This window comes from Homo sapiens, chromosome 22, assembly GCF_000001405.40.
Source record: "Homo sapiens chromosome 22, GRCh38.p14 Primary Assembly".
Classification (NCBI taxonomy): Eukaryota; Metazoa; Chordata; class Mammalia; order Primates; family Hominidae; genus Homo; species Homo sapiens.
In genome coordinates, this window is record NC_000022.11 from 28,974,866 (window position 1) to 28,988,257 (window position 13,392).

The following is a 13,392-nucleotide window of genomic DNA, read 5'->3' on the forward strand; positions in this document are numbered from 1 at the left end:
GGCTCAAGTAATCCTCCCATCTTGGCCTCCCAAAGTGCTGAGATTACAGGCAGATATGATTTTTAAATCTGTACATTAATTTTTCTGAAAATTCTGTACATCTAATACTATGTTGTCTTCATTATTATCTTACTGTGGTGACATTACATCCCATAAATTATGCACATTGTTTTTATTATATAGTCTTTGGGGGAACTTTTTTTTTCTTTCTAAGTTTTCACAGTTTAGAGGAGGACTACTTGAAGATTTCATCATATAAAGTTACTACTTTGGCTGGGTGCAGTGGCTTACGCCTGTAATCCTAGCATTTTGGGAGTCCGAGGCGGGCGGATCATGACGTCAAGAGTTCAAGACCAGGCCAGGCGCAGTGGCTCACGCCTGTAATCCCAGCACTTTGGGAGGCCGAGGTGGGCGGATCACAAGGTCAGGAGTTCGAGACCAGCCTGGCCAATATGGTGAAACCCTATCTCTACTAAAAATACCAAAATTAGCCGGGAGTGGTGGCGGACGCCTGTAGTCCCAGCTACTCGGGGGGCTGAGGCAGGAGAATCACTTGAACCAGGGAGGTGGAGGTTGTAGTGAGCCGAGATCGAGATCGGGCCACTGCACTCCAGCCTGGGAGACAGAGCGATACTCTGTCTCAAAAAAAAAAAAAAAAAAAAAGAGTTCAAGACCAGCCTGGCCAACATGATGAAACCTCGTCTCTACTAAAAGTACAAAAATTAGCCAGACATGGTGGCGGGCGCCTGTAATCCGAGCTCCTTGGGAGGCTGAGGCAGGAGAATCGCTTGAACCTGGGAGGCAGAGATTGCAGTGAGCTGAGATCGCACCACTGCACTCTAGCCTGGGCAACAGTGCAAGACTCTGTCTCAAGAAAAAAAAAATTACTACTTTGAGGTTATTTCCTCGGGGTCTGTTTGAAAAATGAAATTGTGGGGGAAGGACATAACGGAGCTTGGGCATTGTCTCATTGCCAGACCGCTTCCCCCCAAATTTGAGCCAATTTGCAGCATGGCCAGAATGTGTTTGCCCAAGTTGGGTTTAGAGCTGGTTTACTTGGCTGATTTTGCTGTTGTATTCATCACCAATAAGATGGATGATGATTCTGTTTTCTTACTATAAATTAGTTGCATATATCCCTTAACTCTCAGTCATTTCATTCCTTGCAGTGTATCTTTGTTCTGTACCTGCTCATATGGAGAAGTTCAAAAAATACATTAGTACTTTCTGCCCCACTTTGTCACTATCTAGTTCACTAATTTTCCTAAAGGAATTGACTTAGCTCATGTTGCTTCATCATTTATAAACATATAAATGAGGCAGAGGTTGCATTGAGCGAAGATCATGCCACTGCACTCCAGCATGGGCAACAGAGCGGGACCCTGTCTCAAAAAATAAATGAATAGGCTGGGTGGCAGAGGTGGGTGGGTTACTTGAGTTGGATCCAGGAGTTTGAGACCAGCCTGGACAACATAGTGAGACCCTGTCTCTACTAAAAATACAAAAATTAGCTGGGCATGGTTGTGCATGCCTGTAATCCCAACTACCTGGGGGACTGAGTCAGGAGGAAGTCCTGGCTGCAGTGAGCCAAGATTGTGCCTCTACACGCCAGCCTGGGTGACAAAGTGAGACCCCTGTCTGAATAAAAAATAAATTAATATAGCTTTGGAATTTTTTTTCACTTATTTTTCTAGTTTCAGTTCAGCATCATGTAGTTTGAATGATTTGTTGTTTTATAGTATTGTATTTCATCTTAATTTAGTAACTCTTTGATGTGTTTAAGCACCTAATCCTTTTCATAATAAGAACGATCAAATGTCCTTTATAAGTTGCCTTGCAATTTGAAGTAAAACTGTGTGAGTGAATTTCTGTGTAGAGAACAATACTTGTCATCTGGTAGGCACATGAGTCACTCTGAGTCACTTCAAGAATGAATTTAGAATTAATTTAGCTTAAGGTTTCTATAGTCTACTGGATACTTAAAAAAAAATTTAACTTACGAGGCATCTTATCTATTTGAAACTAGCAACAGCCATTCTAAGTGAGGGTTTGTAAAGTCAGGCGTGAGATATACATGGGGCCATATGTAAGTTTTAACATAATTCTCTGACAAAATGAAATTCTAGGGCGTGGGAGATACTCAAGAGAAAAGGTGGATTTGAAATGCCCCCTGCTTCCCCAAGTTTCTGACAGGTCACTTCTCAGTTGTGCATTTGGTACAGAGGAATGAAATAGGTATAGAGGCTCTTTTTGGTTTTTCTCAAAAAAAGTGATACCCACTGGGGGAGACTCCAGCCGAGTGTTCTGAAAGCCAGAGTCCTCAGCCGAGAGAACTCCACAGTCTTCAGGCCGTTCCCAGCTGGAATTCTCTGTGAAACAGCAGCAACAGCCAGCAGCTTTTTGGTGTCTGGGGTAGTTTCTGACCCATCACAGTTCCCTTCATTGCTATGACAACAGGGAGAATAATTATTCAGGTTCTGTTTGATTCTAGATCCAGAAAAAGGTTTAGGCTCTTTGTTCAAAGAGCAAAAGAATTGTCCGTTTCTTTGTACATAGAAGAGGGAAAAAAAATCCTTATGATTCAAGAGAAAAATGGGTGCGTCTGTCCTTTTTCCTTTCTTTCACGTAAATTATAAGTCTTGGTTCTAGCCACCACACCTTTTAAGAAAAGGTCTGGGACTGATGTGAGACTCTGTACCACAGCGACACCCTACCCTGGCCGACAGTGGCAAAAGAACAAAAGGAAGGAAGTTTCCCTTTTAAATCCCCAGGAATTTTTTGATGAGATAATATTACAGAGTGAAATGTCTCGTCCTCCTATTAGTTTAGTATTTGGCTTCTGTGTAACAGTAACCCACTTAGAAGCAGGCGGCTCTTTTGAAGTTATTTTAAACTCTCAGCCTAGTGTAGAGATTTGTAACCTTGGATAAAAGCACCACTAGCCCTAGTTTCAGTTTTGCCCTTTCAGACATGTGGAAAGTGCACCAGTATATCTCAAGGATTTTGTACTGAAAGCTTCTTAAAGAGCTGGTCTTGGTTTCAAAGTTTGGCTTGATGTACCATACTCAAGGGAACATAGTTCTTTTTCTCCAGATATTTAACCTTGTCTGACATCGTCTTTTGGCTTCGAAGTTCCCCTAGCTTCTTTGTCCATTAACAAAACATGAAACCACATGAAACCATGATAGTCAGTCTCACTGGGCTCTGAGGAAGTTGAAGAAAGTTCATCTTCATATTTAAACATAAAACCAGTTGTTTGATACCTGGTACCAGAGATGGCCAGGTATATGCATTGCTTGTTGGTAGCATTTTGCCTTAGTAACTATTCAGAAATGCAAGTGGAATGTTGAGTTCCTCTTCTAGAGGTTATATCTGTATCTGGGAGAAAATTGGAGCTTCTCAGAACAATCACCCTGGTTATTGTGTCTGCCGTCTCTGTAACACCCAAATCTATATCACACTCTGATGCCACCTGGGAGCTATTTTTGGTTGCGAAGGGTGGTGAAAGCTGCTGGTTCTTTCTCTTACCGTGTGTCCCTGAGTCATCCCCAGCCCACGTCCTGGATGGCTCCCAGAACAGCCGTCTCAGACGAAGTCTCCCTTCAGATGTCCACTCCTCAGTGCAGGGGGCCTGTGGGGTCTCTCTTGGTCCTGATGAAATCCTTCTCTGCCTTTTCCAGTGAGAAGGACCCATAGAATCTGCTGGAACACTTGGAGAAAGGGACTTATTTCCAGCAGTGCATAAAATTTTTGATTAAAATAATTCACGTGTCTGTTTATAAAAAGACAAAGCGTACATCATGGTTTATAATAAAAAAGAGCATTATCTTGTTTCACCTTCACCACCCCTGATTGCTATTCCCAGAGGCAACCATTTTCAATTCTTTAGTGGCTTCTTTTGTCTTCATCTCTGTGATTCTTTCTAAATTTCTGTAACTCTTATAGTCAATTGCAGAATAATTTATTGACCTCCTCCTGTAGAAAAAGATTTTGCTTTTCACTCCCCTCTTCTCATTCCTGCATTCTTCCAATGTAGTTATATCACATAGGTCATACCCTGATTATGGGTTCCAATCCTGGTGTAAGTTTTTGTTTTTTTTCTGGAGTTAATCATTGCTCCCCTCACCCTGGCCCTCCATTACTTTAGTTTGCTGTAACTATCACGTGTCATCCTCTTGTTCAGAACTATAAAACTCTCCTCAGTACCATCTAACCCACTGGGTAATGAGTCATATTTTTGTTGTTATTTGTTTGGCTGTCCTGTAGCCTCATCCTTCTGGCCCCATCTGGACCTGTCATTCAACAGGCTGGTTGCAAAGCCATCGTCCTGGGATTTCTCTTTATTTCTCTAATCTGTGGGAGTCCCTGTGCTTGGATCCCATGCCTGCCTTTTCCTTAGTTTTATTTCTTTGTTTTGTTGTTGCTGACAGCAACTCCTGAGGTTGGACGTGGATGGGAAAATTTGAGACTTGCTTTTTTGGGGAGGACATCTTCTATTCTCCTTCCCCTTCTACTGTCCTTTCAAGGTGCTGTCATGGTGAAGGGCACCAGTGTTGTGGTCTCTGTGTATAGAAAGCAGTAGCCACCCCAGCGTTCTTGGGCTGCTGTGGCCCCACAGCAAGGCCAAGGAGGAGCAGCCTTTGCTCCTATACCATTGCCAGTAAATCTTTTTTGTCCTGGAAATGTCTTTGATGACTCAGTAATCAATAACTGTAAGAGCTAGGTCTTTCAAAGTTCATGCAGCAAGTTAATTAAATCCTGACCTATTTGCCCTGGTCCCTCACTTAGCAGAGCAGAGACCCAAGTGGCTCAGCAAAAACAGCAAGAGACATGGCAGCAGGCCTGCCTCCAGGCCAGAGGTCATTTGTTCAGCCAGCAGTCATTTATTGAGCACCTGTTGGGTGCAAAGCTCTGTGTAGGGTGAAAGGGGACTTCTGAATAAGACTGTCTTTCTAGAAGCAGGTGCCCATCTTAGAGGGGAGGCTGTAGGAACCAGTAAGCACCATACAAAGCATTTGAGAATCAAAAAGTATTAGTTCATTCAAGAAAGCTCCGTGGAAGGGGTGATATTTAAGTTGGTCTTGAAGGGCAAAGCATTCAAGGCAAAGGCATAAAATGCAAATGGACATGACAGGTCTAGAGAAGGTGAAGGAGAGAGCTTTCCCATTGATGGAACGTCTACTGGTGTTACTATGTTGATGTATTTTATCTCATTTAATCCTTAACGATGTCTGTATTTGTCCATATCAGTTAAGACAGATGCTACAGTCTCCATTTTACAGATAAGAAAATCCATATGGAAAACAGATAGGGGCATAGAGTGTGGAAGTACAGGCATTGGAGACTCAGAAGGGTGGGTGGAGGGGGGGAAGGGGAATGGATTATGGGAAATTACTTAATGGGTACCATTTACATTATTCAGGTGATAGATACACTAAAAGCCCAGATTTCCCCACTAAACAATATAGCCATGTAACAAAATCACACTTCAATATATACAAATAATTTTAAAAATCAAGGTTTATAGAAATCAACTCATCTGCCTAGGTGATGTGCCTCATAAAAGGCAGAAGTGAGATTTCAACACAAGATTGCATGATCTCAAATCTCATTCCTTCCTTCCCAAAATATCCCTTGGAACAAAATAAGGAGTGAGAGGGTAAGAGCCACAGTTTCATAATAATGTCAAACTCTTGATAAAGGAGTGAGTAGGCATTTTCCTTCAGTTGACTTAAGCAAGATGTCAAGTATCCCAAAGTTATTGCACAAAGAGCAAAAGTAAAACAAAATCAAAGTTATAACCCAGGACATATTTTCTGTTATATCCTTGCACTTTCATTGTAGCTTATTAATTATTTGCATGAAGTTCTTCTGTGAATCTGCCCCAGAAGTTTTTCTTGTCTTCTCATTTCAAGCCATCCTTCCCCTTAGTATTCTCTATTGGATGGAGTCTTGGTTCCAGTCTAGGGTTTCCATGTCTATTTGATTTTTTTCTTTACGTTTTCATTAGTAGTTCTTGAGTTCTTACACACAATTCAGCTGTTTTTAATCTTCTTAAAAATAATAAGGCAAAAACATAAATGTCAAGCATCTGACTAGGAAAGCCCTACCCATCCAAATATTTTAAGAAAATAAACTCAGAAATGCCTATAACTTTTAAATGCTTATATGCTACATTAAGTTCAAAGTTAACATGCTTAACACCATACACGGAAGTATCCTACGATGAATTTTCAATGATTAGGCGTTCAGAACCACACAGGTCTTATATGTAGTCAGTGCCTATATGTCGCTGGCTAGTGTTAGCATGTGTGAATAACACGCCTGGTTTTTACCTGATGACTGCAGGGATGGTGTGGAAGTAGTGTCTAGCTGAAACTTTGGGAGAGTTTAGGAATTTCTTACAGAGAAGGTTCTTATTCTCTACAGATGATTGTTATCCAGATAAGGACCTTGGGATCTTTTAAAATCAGAGGCTAATAATTCTTTTTTATCTTTTTAAAAAAATTGAGATGCAGTCTTGCTATGTTGGCCAGGCTGGTCTCGAACTCCTGGGTTCAAACCATCCTCCCACCTCAGCCTCCCAGTAGCTAGGATTATAGGTGTGTGTCACTATGCCTGGTTTAGGGCCTAGTATTTCTTAGGAGAAAGTAGAAATAAAGGTTTCATTGGGGCTATATCTTAAAAAATAAAAATGAAAGTAATGGTTTATATTTAAATTATAATTGCAGCTTTGTACTGATTTTTGAGAATAAACAAAGATTGAATCTCTTGTGGGCCATGCGGGGATATTCTCAGCAAAACTGTATAAGACTGTGCATATAGCATCCTTCACTTAGGTTTGAGTTCAGCCGGGTGCGATGGCTCATGCCTGTAATCCCAGCGTTTTGGGAGTCCAAGGCGGGTGGATCACCTGAGGTCAGGAATTTGAGACCAGCCTGGCCAACATGGTGAAACCCTGACTCTACTAAAAATACAAAAATTAGCTGAGCGTGGTGGCGGGCGCCTCTAATCCCAGCTACTCAAGAGGCTGAGGCAAGAGAATTGCTTGAACCCGGGAAGCAGAGGTTGCAGTGAGCCGAGATCGCGCCACTGTGCTCCAGCCTGGGCAATGGAGACTCCGTCTAAAAAAAAAAAGTTGTTTTCCAACTGAGAGGACTCTCACTTTTTCCAAAGGTCTCTCTTAATCCTTTGATCATTCTCTGTGGAAGCTCCCATGCGTGTTTCTTCTTCTTTAATCCTTAACTAGATTGTTTGCCATTGGCTTTGAGTGGAATCCAGTTGTTGACTAATAGGACTTTCATGGACTCTGTTAAATTCTGCATTGGTTGCTGATTTGCAGTTCTAGTTTGCAACTTATTTACATAGTTTAGTCACTATATCATCTGATATTCCAACAATTAGCAGGAGTTCACTGTTGGATTAAATAAGAGATTAAAATGTGTAAACCGGTCAGGTGCAGCAGCTCACACCTGTAATTCCAGCACTTTGGGAGGCTGAGGCGGAAGGATTGCTTGCGCCTAGGAGTTCAAGACCAGCCTGGGCGACATTGTGAGACCTGTCTCTACAAAAAAAAAAAAAAAAAAAAAAAGTCAATAAATGAGGTGGCAAGATTGCTTGAGCCTAGGGGGTCGAGGTTGCAGTAAGCTGTGATCACGCCACTGCACTCTCATCTGGGTGACAGAACAAGACCCTGCCTTTAAAAAAAAAAAAAAAAAGTGTTAACATTGCAGATGTCCAGTTAATAGGAAAGGCCTCTGTTTCACTTTTCCCATAAAATGCAAATGAAATGGTATGTTCATTTGCATTTTATGCCTTTGCCTAGAATACTCCATCCTTGGGACAGGTCAGTTCCCTAAGAATATTTTCACATAATGACTACTTCTGCTTCTCTATAAAAACATCTCCTGAGCTCGTAACTTGGAGCCCTTGGGAAAAGAGAACCTCAGGGTGGAAATGGCTGGAGGCCTAGGGTGGCCGATGCTGTCGTCAGGGGCCAGCTGACAGAGACCTGAATCGTATAATATGATATTCAATAGGTGGGTCAAAGGAGCCTGTTAGATTGAATTAACAGACTTGCACTGGAGATGTAAACTGGAATAAGGAGCTCAGGAGAGAGGGAACTTAGGGTGGAAGTGGGAAGGTGGAATGGATGGTGAGGTAAGTTTTCTATCCTCTGAGATGTGATCTCAGTGGCTTCTTTACCCTCCACAAGAGGGTAAAGCGTCCCTCCCACTGGCACTTTAGAAAAATTCCTTTTAGTTTTAAAGGCTTTCATTCCTGTTCAGAAGTCAATGCCCTTGACGGGGCTGATGTGTTGAGCTGCTAACAGTCACCCATCCCAGTGTCAGGAAGATTTGATAGAGGAGTTTGGAGGAGAGTGGGAAGGAATGACTGCTTAGGAGGGGAGAGAGCCTGGCAATGAAATGTGGCCCAGGGCACCAGCCTGACAGCCCCGAGGGACCCCTGGGTGTGTTTGAGGCTTTCATAGTTCAGATTTCTGCATGCCCGGACACGCTCTCCACATGCCTTTCCTGAGGCCGTGTGTTCTGCTCCTCCAAGAGAGTAAGCCTCTGGCCTGGTCAGGCCCACTTCCACCTCACTGGCTGCAGTGGGTCAGGCCTCGGCTTTGGCTTCAGCTGCCTCTTGGTTTCCATTCCTTGTCTTCTCCCCGTCCTCCACATCTGCCGCTCTCCCAAGCCTTGTCTTTTCTCCAGCTGCCCTCGACTGTCCCTCCATTTCTTTCTACCATGGCCTTAAGTCTTTGCGTCATGGATGTTCAGCATTTGCAGACATTTAGCTTTACCTCATGTCATATTTACTGTAGGTTTATTGCCATGCGTGTGTATGTGTTCTCCCTAACTTAGCATCTCTCAACGTGTGTCCCATGAAATAGTGTGATCAGATTAAATGCAAAACAAGTTTATAAACAAAGGGTAGGAAATGGTGGTTTTAGCAAAGGTTAAAAGCCTTTTTAAACCATTGGCCACTGCAGAGCTTTAATTCACACATGTAGATCCTGAGTCCCTGTGAAGAGTTTCTCAGTGTTATTTACTTGTGCAAGAACCTGTTTTTCATCTTGTGGTAGGTAGTATTCTGCAGGACCCAGTTTCCTGAAGGGCTGCTGGAATTCACTTAGGCTCTGGAAGGGTAGAAACCACATTGTCCTTCACTGTGGGATCCCCGTGTTAGCTGAGGGCAGTGCTAGGCAGGGCGTAAGTCATTCCTGAGTAAGCTCTTAGGACAGTTGCTTGTTTTTTTTTTTTAAAAAAAACCTTTTAATTGTGAAATTCATATAAAATTCACCATTTTAATCATTTTAAAGCATGAAATTAAGTGGCATTTAATATGTTCACAGTGTTGTGCAATCTTCACCACCATCTAGTTCCAGAACGTTTTCATCACCCAGAAGGAAGCCCTGTACCCATTGAACAGTCACTCCTTATTTGCCCCTCCCTGCTGCCCTTGGCAACCACTAGTCTTCTTTCTGTCTCAATGGTTTTGCCTCTTCTGGACATGTAATGGAATCATACAATATGCGGTGTTTTGTGCCTGGCTTCTTTCTTTAGTAAAGTTTTGATATAGATGCAAAGTCTTAGACCCAGATGATACCTATGCTCCTCCAAAGCAACTCTTTATCATTGGCCAAACCCCATAAATGTATAAGTAACCAAAAGCAGCCATTCATCTGGAAACCTCCAAGTTGTGTGGCCAGGTTAAAAATACCTTGGAATACTGGTTGCCGTTACCATGATTTGACCTGGGACTTCAGGAAGCTGGCTGAGCTGTGCTGGAGTGAGCCGGGTCTTGAGCCCTTTCCTGGAGGTCAGAGGTGCCTGAGCTGTTGACATAATTGGCTCATCCCTCTTGCTCATCCTTTTTCTAGTTGGAGGTCTCAGCATTTCAGACTACTCATTGTTTAATAACTGTAGAACATTCTAGAGTGGGCTGAATCCTGCACGGGCACCCTGGAGGAAAGGTTGCCCCACCCATGGCACCGCAGAACCTCCATTGGCCCTTCAGGCAAATTCCATGAGCCTGAAAGTTTGTGCAAAGTTAGATCCCAGGGCCCTCTATCTCATATCTTGGAATTCCCAAGGGGTGGGATATCTCTCACCCACTATAAAGACAGCTGCTGGCCGCCCTGTGCTCAGCAGTGGTGACCTCTCACCTGCCTTATGAGCTTGTGCAACCCCTTTCCTGTTGTTTCATTGAATTGTCAAGGAACTCTCATTTTTGGCCTGCACCCTTTGCCCTCCACTCGTTGCTGTCTCTGGAGTCCAAGAATACCACTGCTCCAAGAGGTTACCTGCCTGCCTAAAATAACTTCTTTCAGTGCACAATCTTCTGCCTAAGGACCTGTAATGCTGTCTTGGTGTCCAGACTCCATCCTGGTTTTTGAGCCCTTCTCTTTCCTTCTCAGTGTAGACAGTGACCCTTCCTACTCATCAGACTGGATGCATCCTTTTCTCCCCTCTATATCATCTCTTAGCAACTCCTCCCCGGGCTTGGAACTGACCTCTCTCTCTCGTTTTGCCCTGATCAGTCTAACTCTTCCTTCTAAGCTCACTCGAGGCTCAGCAGCTGCGCAAAGCCTCCCCAAACATTCTAGCAACTCTTGCTGCCTGCACCAAACTCATGTTACGCTTGAATACCACAGGATTTAGAGCTGGAAACTTTTTTTCTAAGGATTTTATCTCTTAGTCTTTCCCTGTCAGATGGTCAGCTCTCAGAGGAAGGGAAGATAAAGTAAGCAAGTGGTGGAGTGGGAAGGCACTGGATTGTGAATCCAAGGGCCTGGTCACCTCTGGGTGTGCCACATACTGGCTGTGTCTTGGAAAAGCCACTTATCTTGGATTTCTGTTCTCATCTGTAAAACAAGTAGGGGATAATGTGGGTGTATTAGTTTCCTATTTGCTGCTGTAACAAGTTTCTACAAACTTAGTGGCTTAAAGCAACACAAATTCATTCTCTTACAGTTCTGGAGGTCAGAAGTCCCAAACAGGTCTTCAGGGCTACATTCTTTCTGGAAGCTTGAGGGGAGAATCCATTTTTCATCTTTGTCAGCTTCTAGAGGCCATCGTCATTTCTTGATTAACGGCCCCCTCCTCCACCTTCAAAGCACATCAGCCTCTGCTTCTGTCATCACATCTGTTCTCCATCTTTCTCATGCTTCCCTGCTTCCCTTATAAGGACCTTTGTGATTGCACTGGACCAACCCAGATAATTCAGTAATCTGTCCATCTCAAACTCAATCACATCTGCAAAGTCTCTTGCTGTGTAAGGTAACTTATGCACAGGTTCTGGAGATTAGGACATAGATATCTTGGGGGCCATATTCTGTCTAGAGTGCATTCTTAGGTCTCTTGTGTTTCTAACTTGTCATGAATCTAAAGACGTATTTCTTCCACTTATTTAAGAGCTTAGCACACACAGTGCTAGGCTTATCAGCTTCTTGATAAGTTATGTTTATCCCTGAGGATTTCCTCTTCTCAGATTGTTATTAGGGATTCTAGGGCCTGGTACCACTCAGTGATAGAACTGTGAGCACAAACCTTAGGGTTGTTCTGGTTTGACTGCACTTTCACACACAGAAATTTGACACTGCTTATCTGCCCATCTTTGATTTTGTGCTTTGCAAATTTTGAAAAGACCTCAAAGAATTTTATCTGTTTCCCAGTAACCAGGGGTAGCCTTTAAACAGCCTGTTAATTACACTGGTGATTTCTGTGGTCTCTGCATAGAGTCCGGGATGTGTTTCCAGATCCTCTTGCGTAAGTTGAAGTAGACATGTTGTTGAAGTCTAGAAGCCAAACAATCTTGGATACTAACATAGCTAGTCTCGTCTGTAATTGCTACTTAGTGTTAAATTTATGGTATTTCACAGCAATTTAGATTGGCATTTATATGGGAATTGTGCTGTTTTCTTTCCCTAGATCCTATTGGGCAGTTTCCACCTTGGATCACCATCACTTACAAGGCAGTAAAAAAGCATGCATAACATACATTTATAATGGCTCTATAGTGTTCTCCCCAGTGCTCAGCTCATTGTGCTGAAATAAAATTCCCCTTGGGTTGAAAAACTGTCCCCACTCTTAAAATTTTAAGTTTTGACGTTACTTTTGGCTATAGCATCTGAGAAATACACAATATGAGTCAAGCAAATGTGTAGCTTGCCTGCTGAAGTTTTCTTTCCATTTTATTTCCTAGATGCACCCACTGGGCCTATGTAATAACAATGACGAAGAGGACTTGTATGAATATGGCTGGGTAGGAGTGGTGAAGCTGGAACAGCCAGAATTGGACCCGAAACCATGCCTCACTGTCCTAGGCAAGGTAAGCACCAGGCCCTTGGAATCACTGTGTTTCTGGTTGGTGTTTTCCACTCTTCCATTTCAGCATTCCTCAAATAGTTGATTATGGAGAAGAGCCATGCTGGCACAGTGCTCCTTCCCGGCTGAAGTTGCATGAGGTGGGGACTGAGACATGCCTTGCAGTGGCCCACCAGTGTTTACAAGCCCAGACTGAAAGAGACTGCCAGTCTCAGAGCGGGCTCTACCCTCTTGTCCATTGTGTGGCCTTGGGCAAGTTGCTTCCCCTCAAGGAGTCTTAGTCTCTTGTCTGTGAAATGGGCTAATAATAGAGATTCACAATACTTTATCTTACACCCTTGGGCCAGATGTTTCAGAATTCTGAGATTTGGGGGGTTTAGAAAGGCATTAAGGGGTATAGATTTTATATTAAGTAACCTCCAAGAGACATGGGGAGGCACTCAGTAACCAAACACATTCACATTTGTATAGCAAACCATAGAGATCTTCACATTAAGTGGGATAACTAAAATCTAAATAGCCTCGTGTTAGTTCACGGCAGCTTTGCCTCCAGATGAGTTCAGGTCCATTAAGTTTTGCTGCCAAGTAAGTTATGGGAAAATGTTTCGGTTTTAGAGCTTTTTTTGGTTTCAGAATGGCAGACAGCAATTATGGTCCTGTATTAGAACTTACCTCATAGGTGGTTAGGAGGTGAGATGAGATGCAAACGCCTCACACAAGAGTAAGCCCTCAATAAACGTTTGCTGCCATTGGCTACCATCACTCCATTTAGAAGTACTAAAAAAGACTTTTTAGCCAAGAGGGTCAGCATTACTTTGACTGCAGTATAAGATAGAAATAAATTTACTTTGGAAAGCCACTCATCAACAATCTTAAAATATGACAGGTAACAACCTGTTTTAAACTGGATTTTGTTTAGACTGCATCATTTTGTTAAAAGGAGAGGTTCAGAGAAGGTGATTTGAATTTTGGCTGGGAGAAAGGTAGTCTGTCCTAAGGATAGTGGTACTGACTGGATATCTTTTATATTCTCAAAAGCTGCCATTCTAGGTACCATGGG

At 42.9% G+C, this 13,392-nt stretch overlaps 1 protein-coding gene across 2 annotated transcripts in view, besides 2 other annotated features; it reads left to right on the plus strand.

The window, feature by feature from the left end:
• Positions 1-13,392, plus strand: part of ZNRF3 (zinc and ring finger 3) — a 173,917-nt gene that overhangs the window by 91,294 nt on the left and 69,231 nt on the right. For both annotated transcript variants that reach the window (NM_001206998.2, NM_032173.4), the window contains exon 2: positions 12,211-12,336. In NM_001206998.2, coding sequence (NP_001193927.1) covers positions 12,211-12,336 — 126 coding nt within the window. The remainder of the gene's footprint in view (positions 1-12,210; positions 12,337-13,392) is intronic.
• Positions 452-952: an enhancer, noted in NCBI's record as "H3K4me1 hESC enhancer chr22:29371305-29371805 (GRCh37/hg19 assembly coordinates)". NCBI's record gives its function as "activates a minimal SCP1, AML or CMV promoter by ChIP-STARR-seq in naive H9 embryonic stem cells {active_cell/tissue: H9 hESC(naive)}" and the evidence as "EXISTENCE:reporter gene assay evidence [ECO:0000049][PMID:30033119]".
• Positions 7,795-8,994: an enhancer, noted in NCBI's record as "BRD4-independent group 4 enhancer chr22:29378648-29379847 (GRCh37/hg19 assembly coordinates)". NCBI's record gives its function as "activates an origin of replication core promoter dependent on BRD2, P300/CBP, MED14 and CDK7 cofactors, and independent of BRD4, by STARR-seq in HCT116 cells {active_cell/tissue: HCT116}" and the evidence as "EXISTENCE:reporter gene assay evidence [ECO:0000049][PMID:35650434]".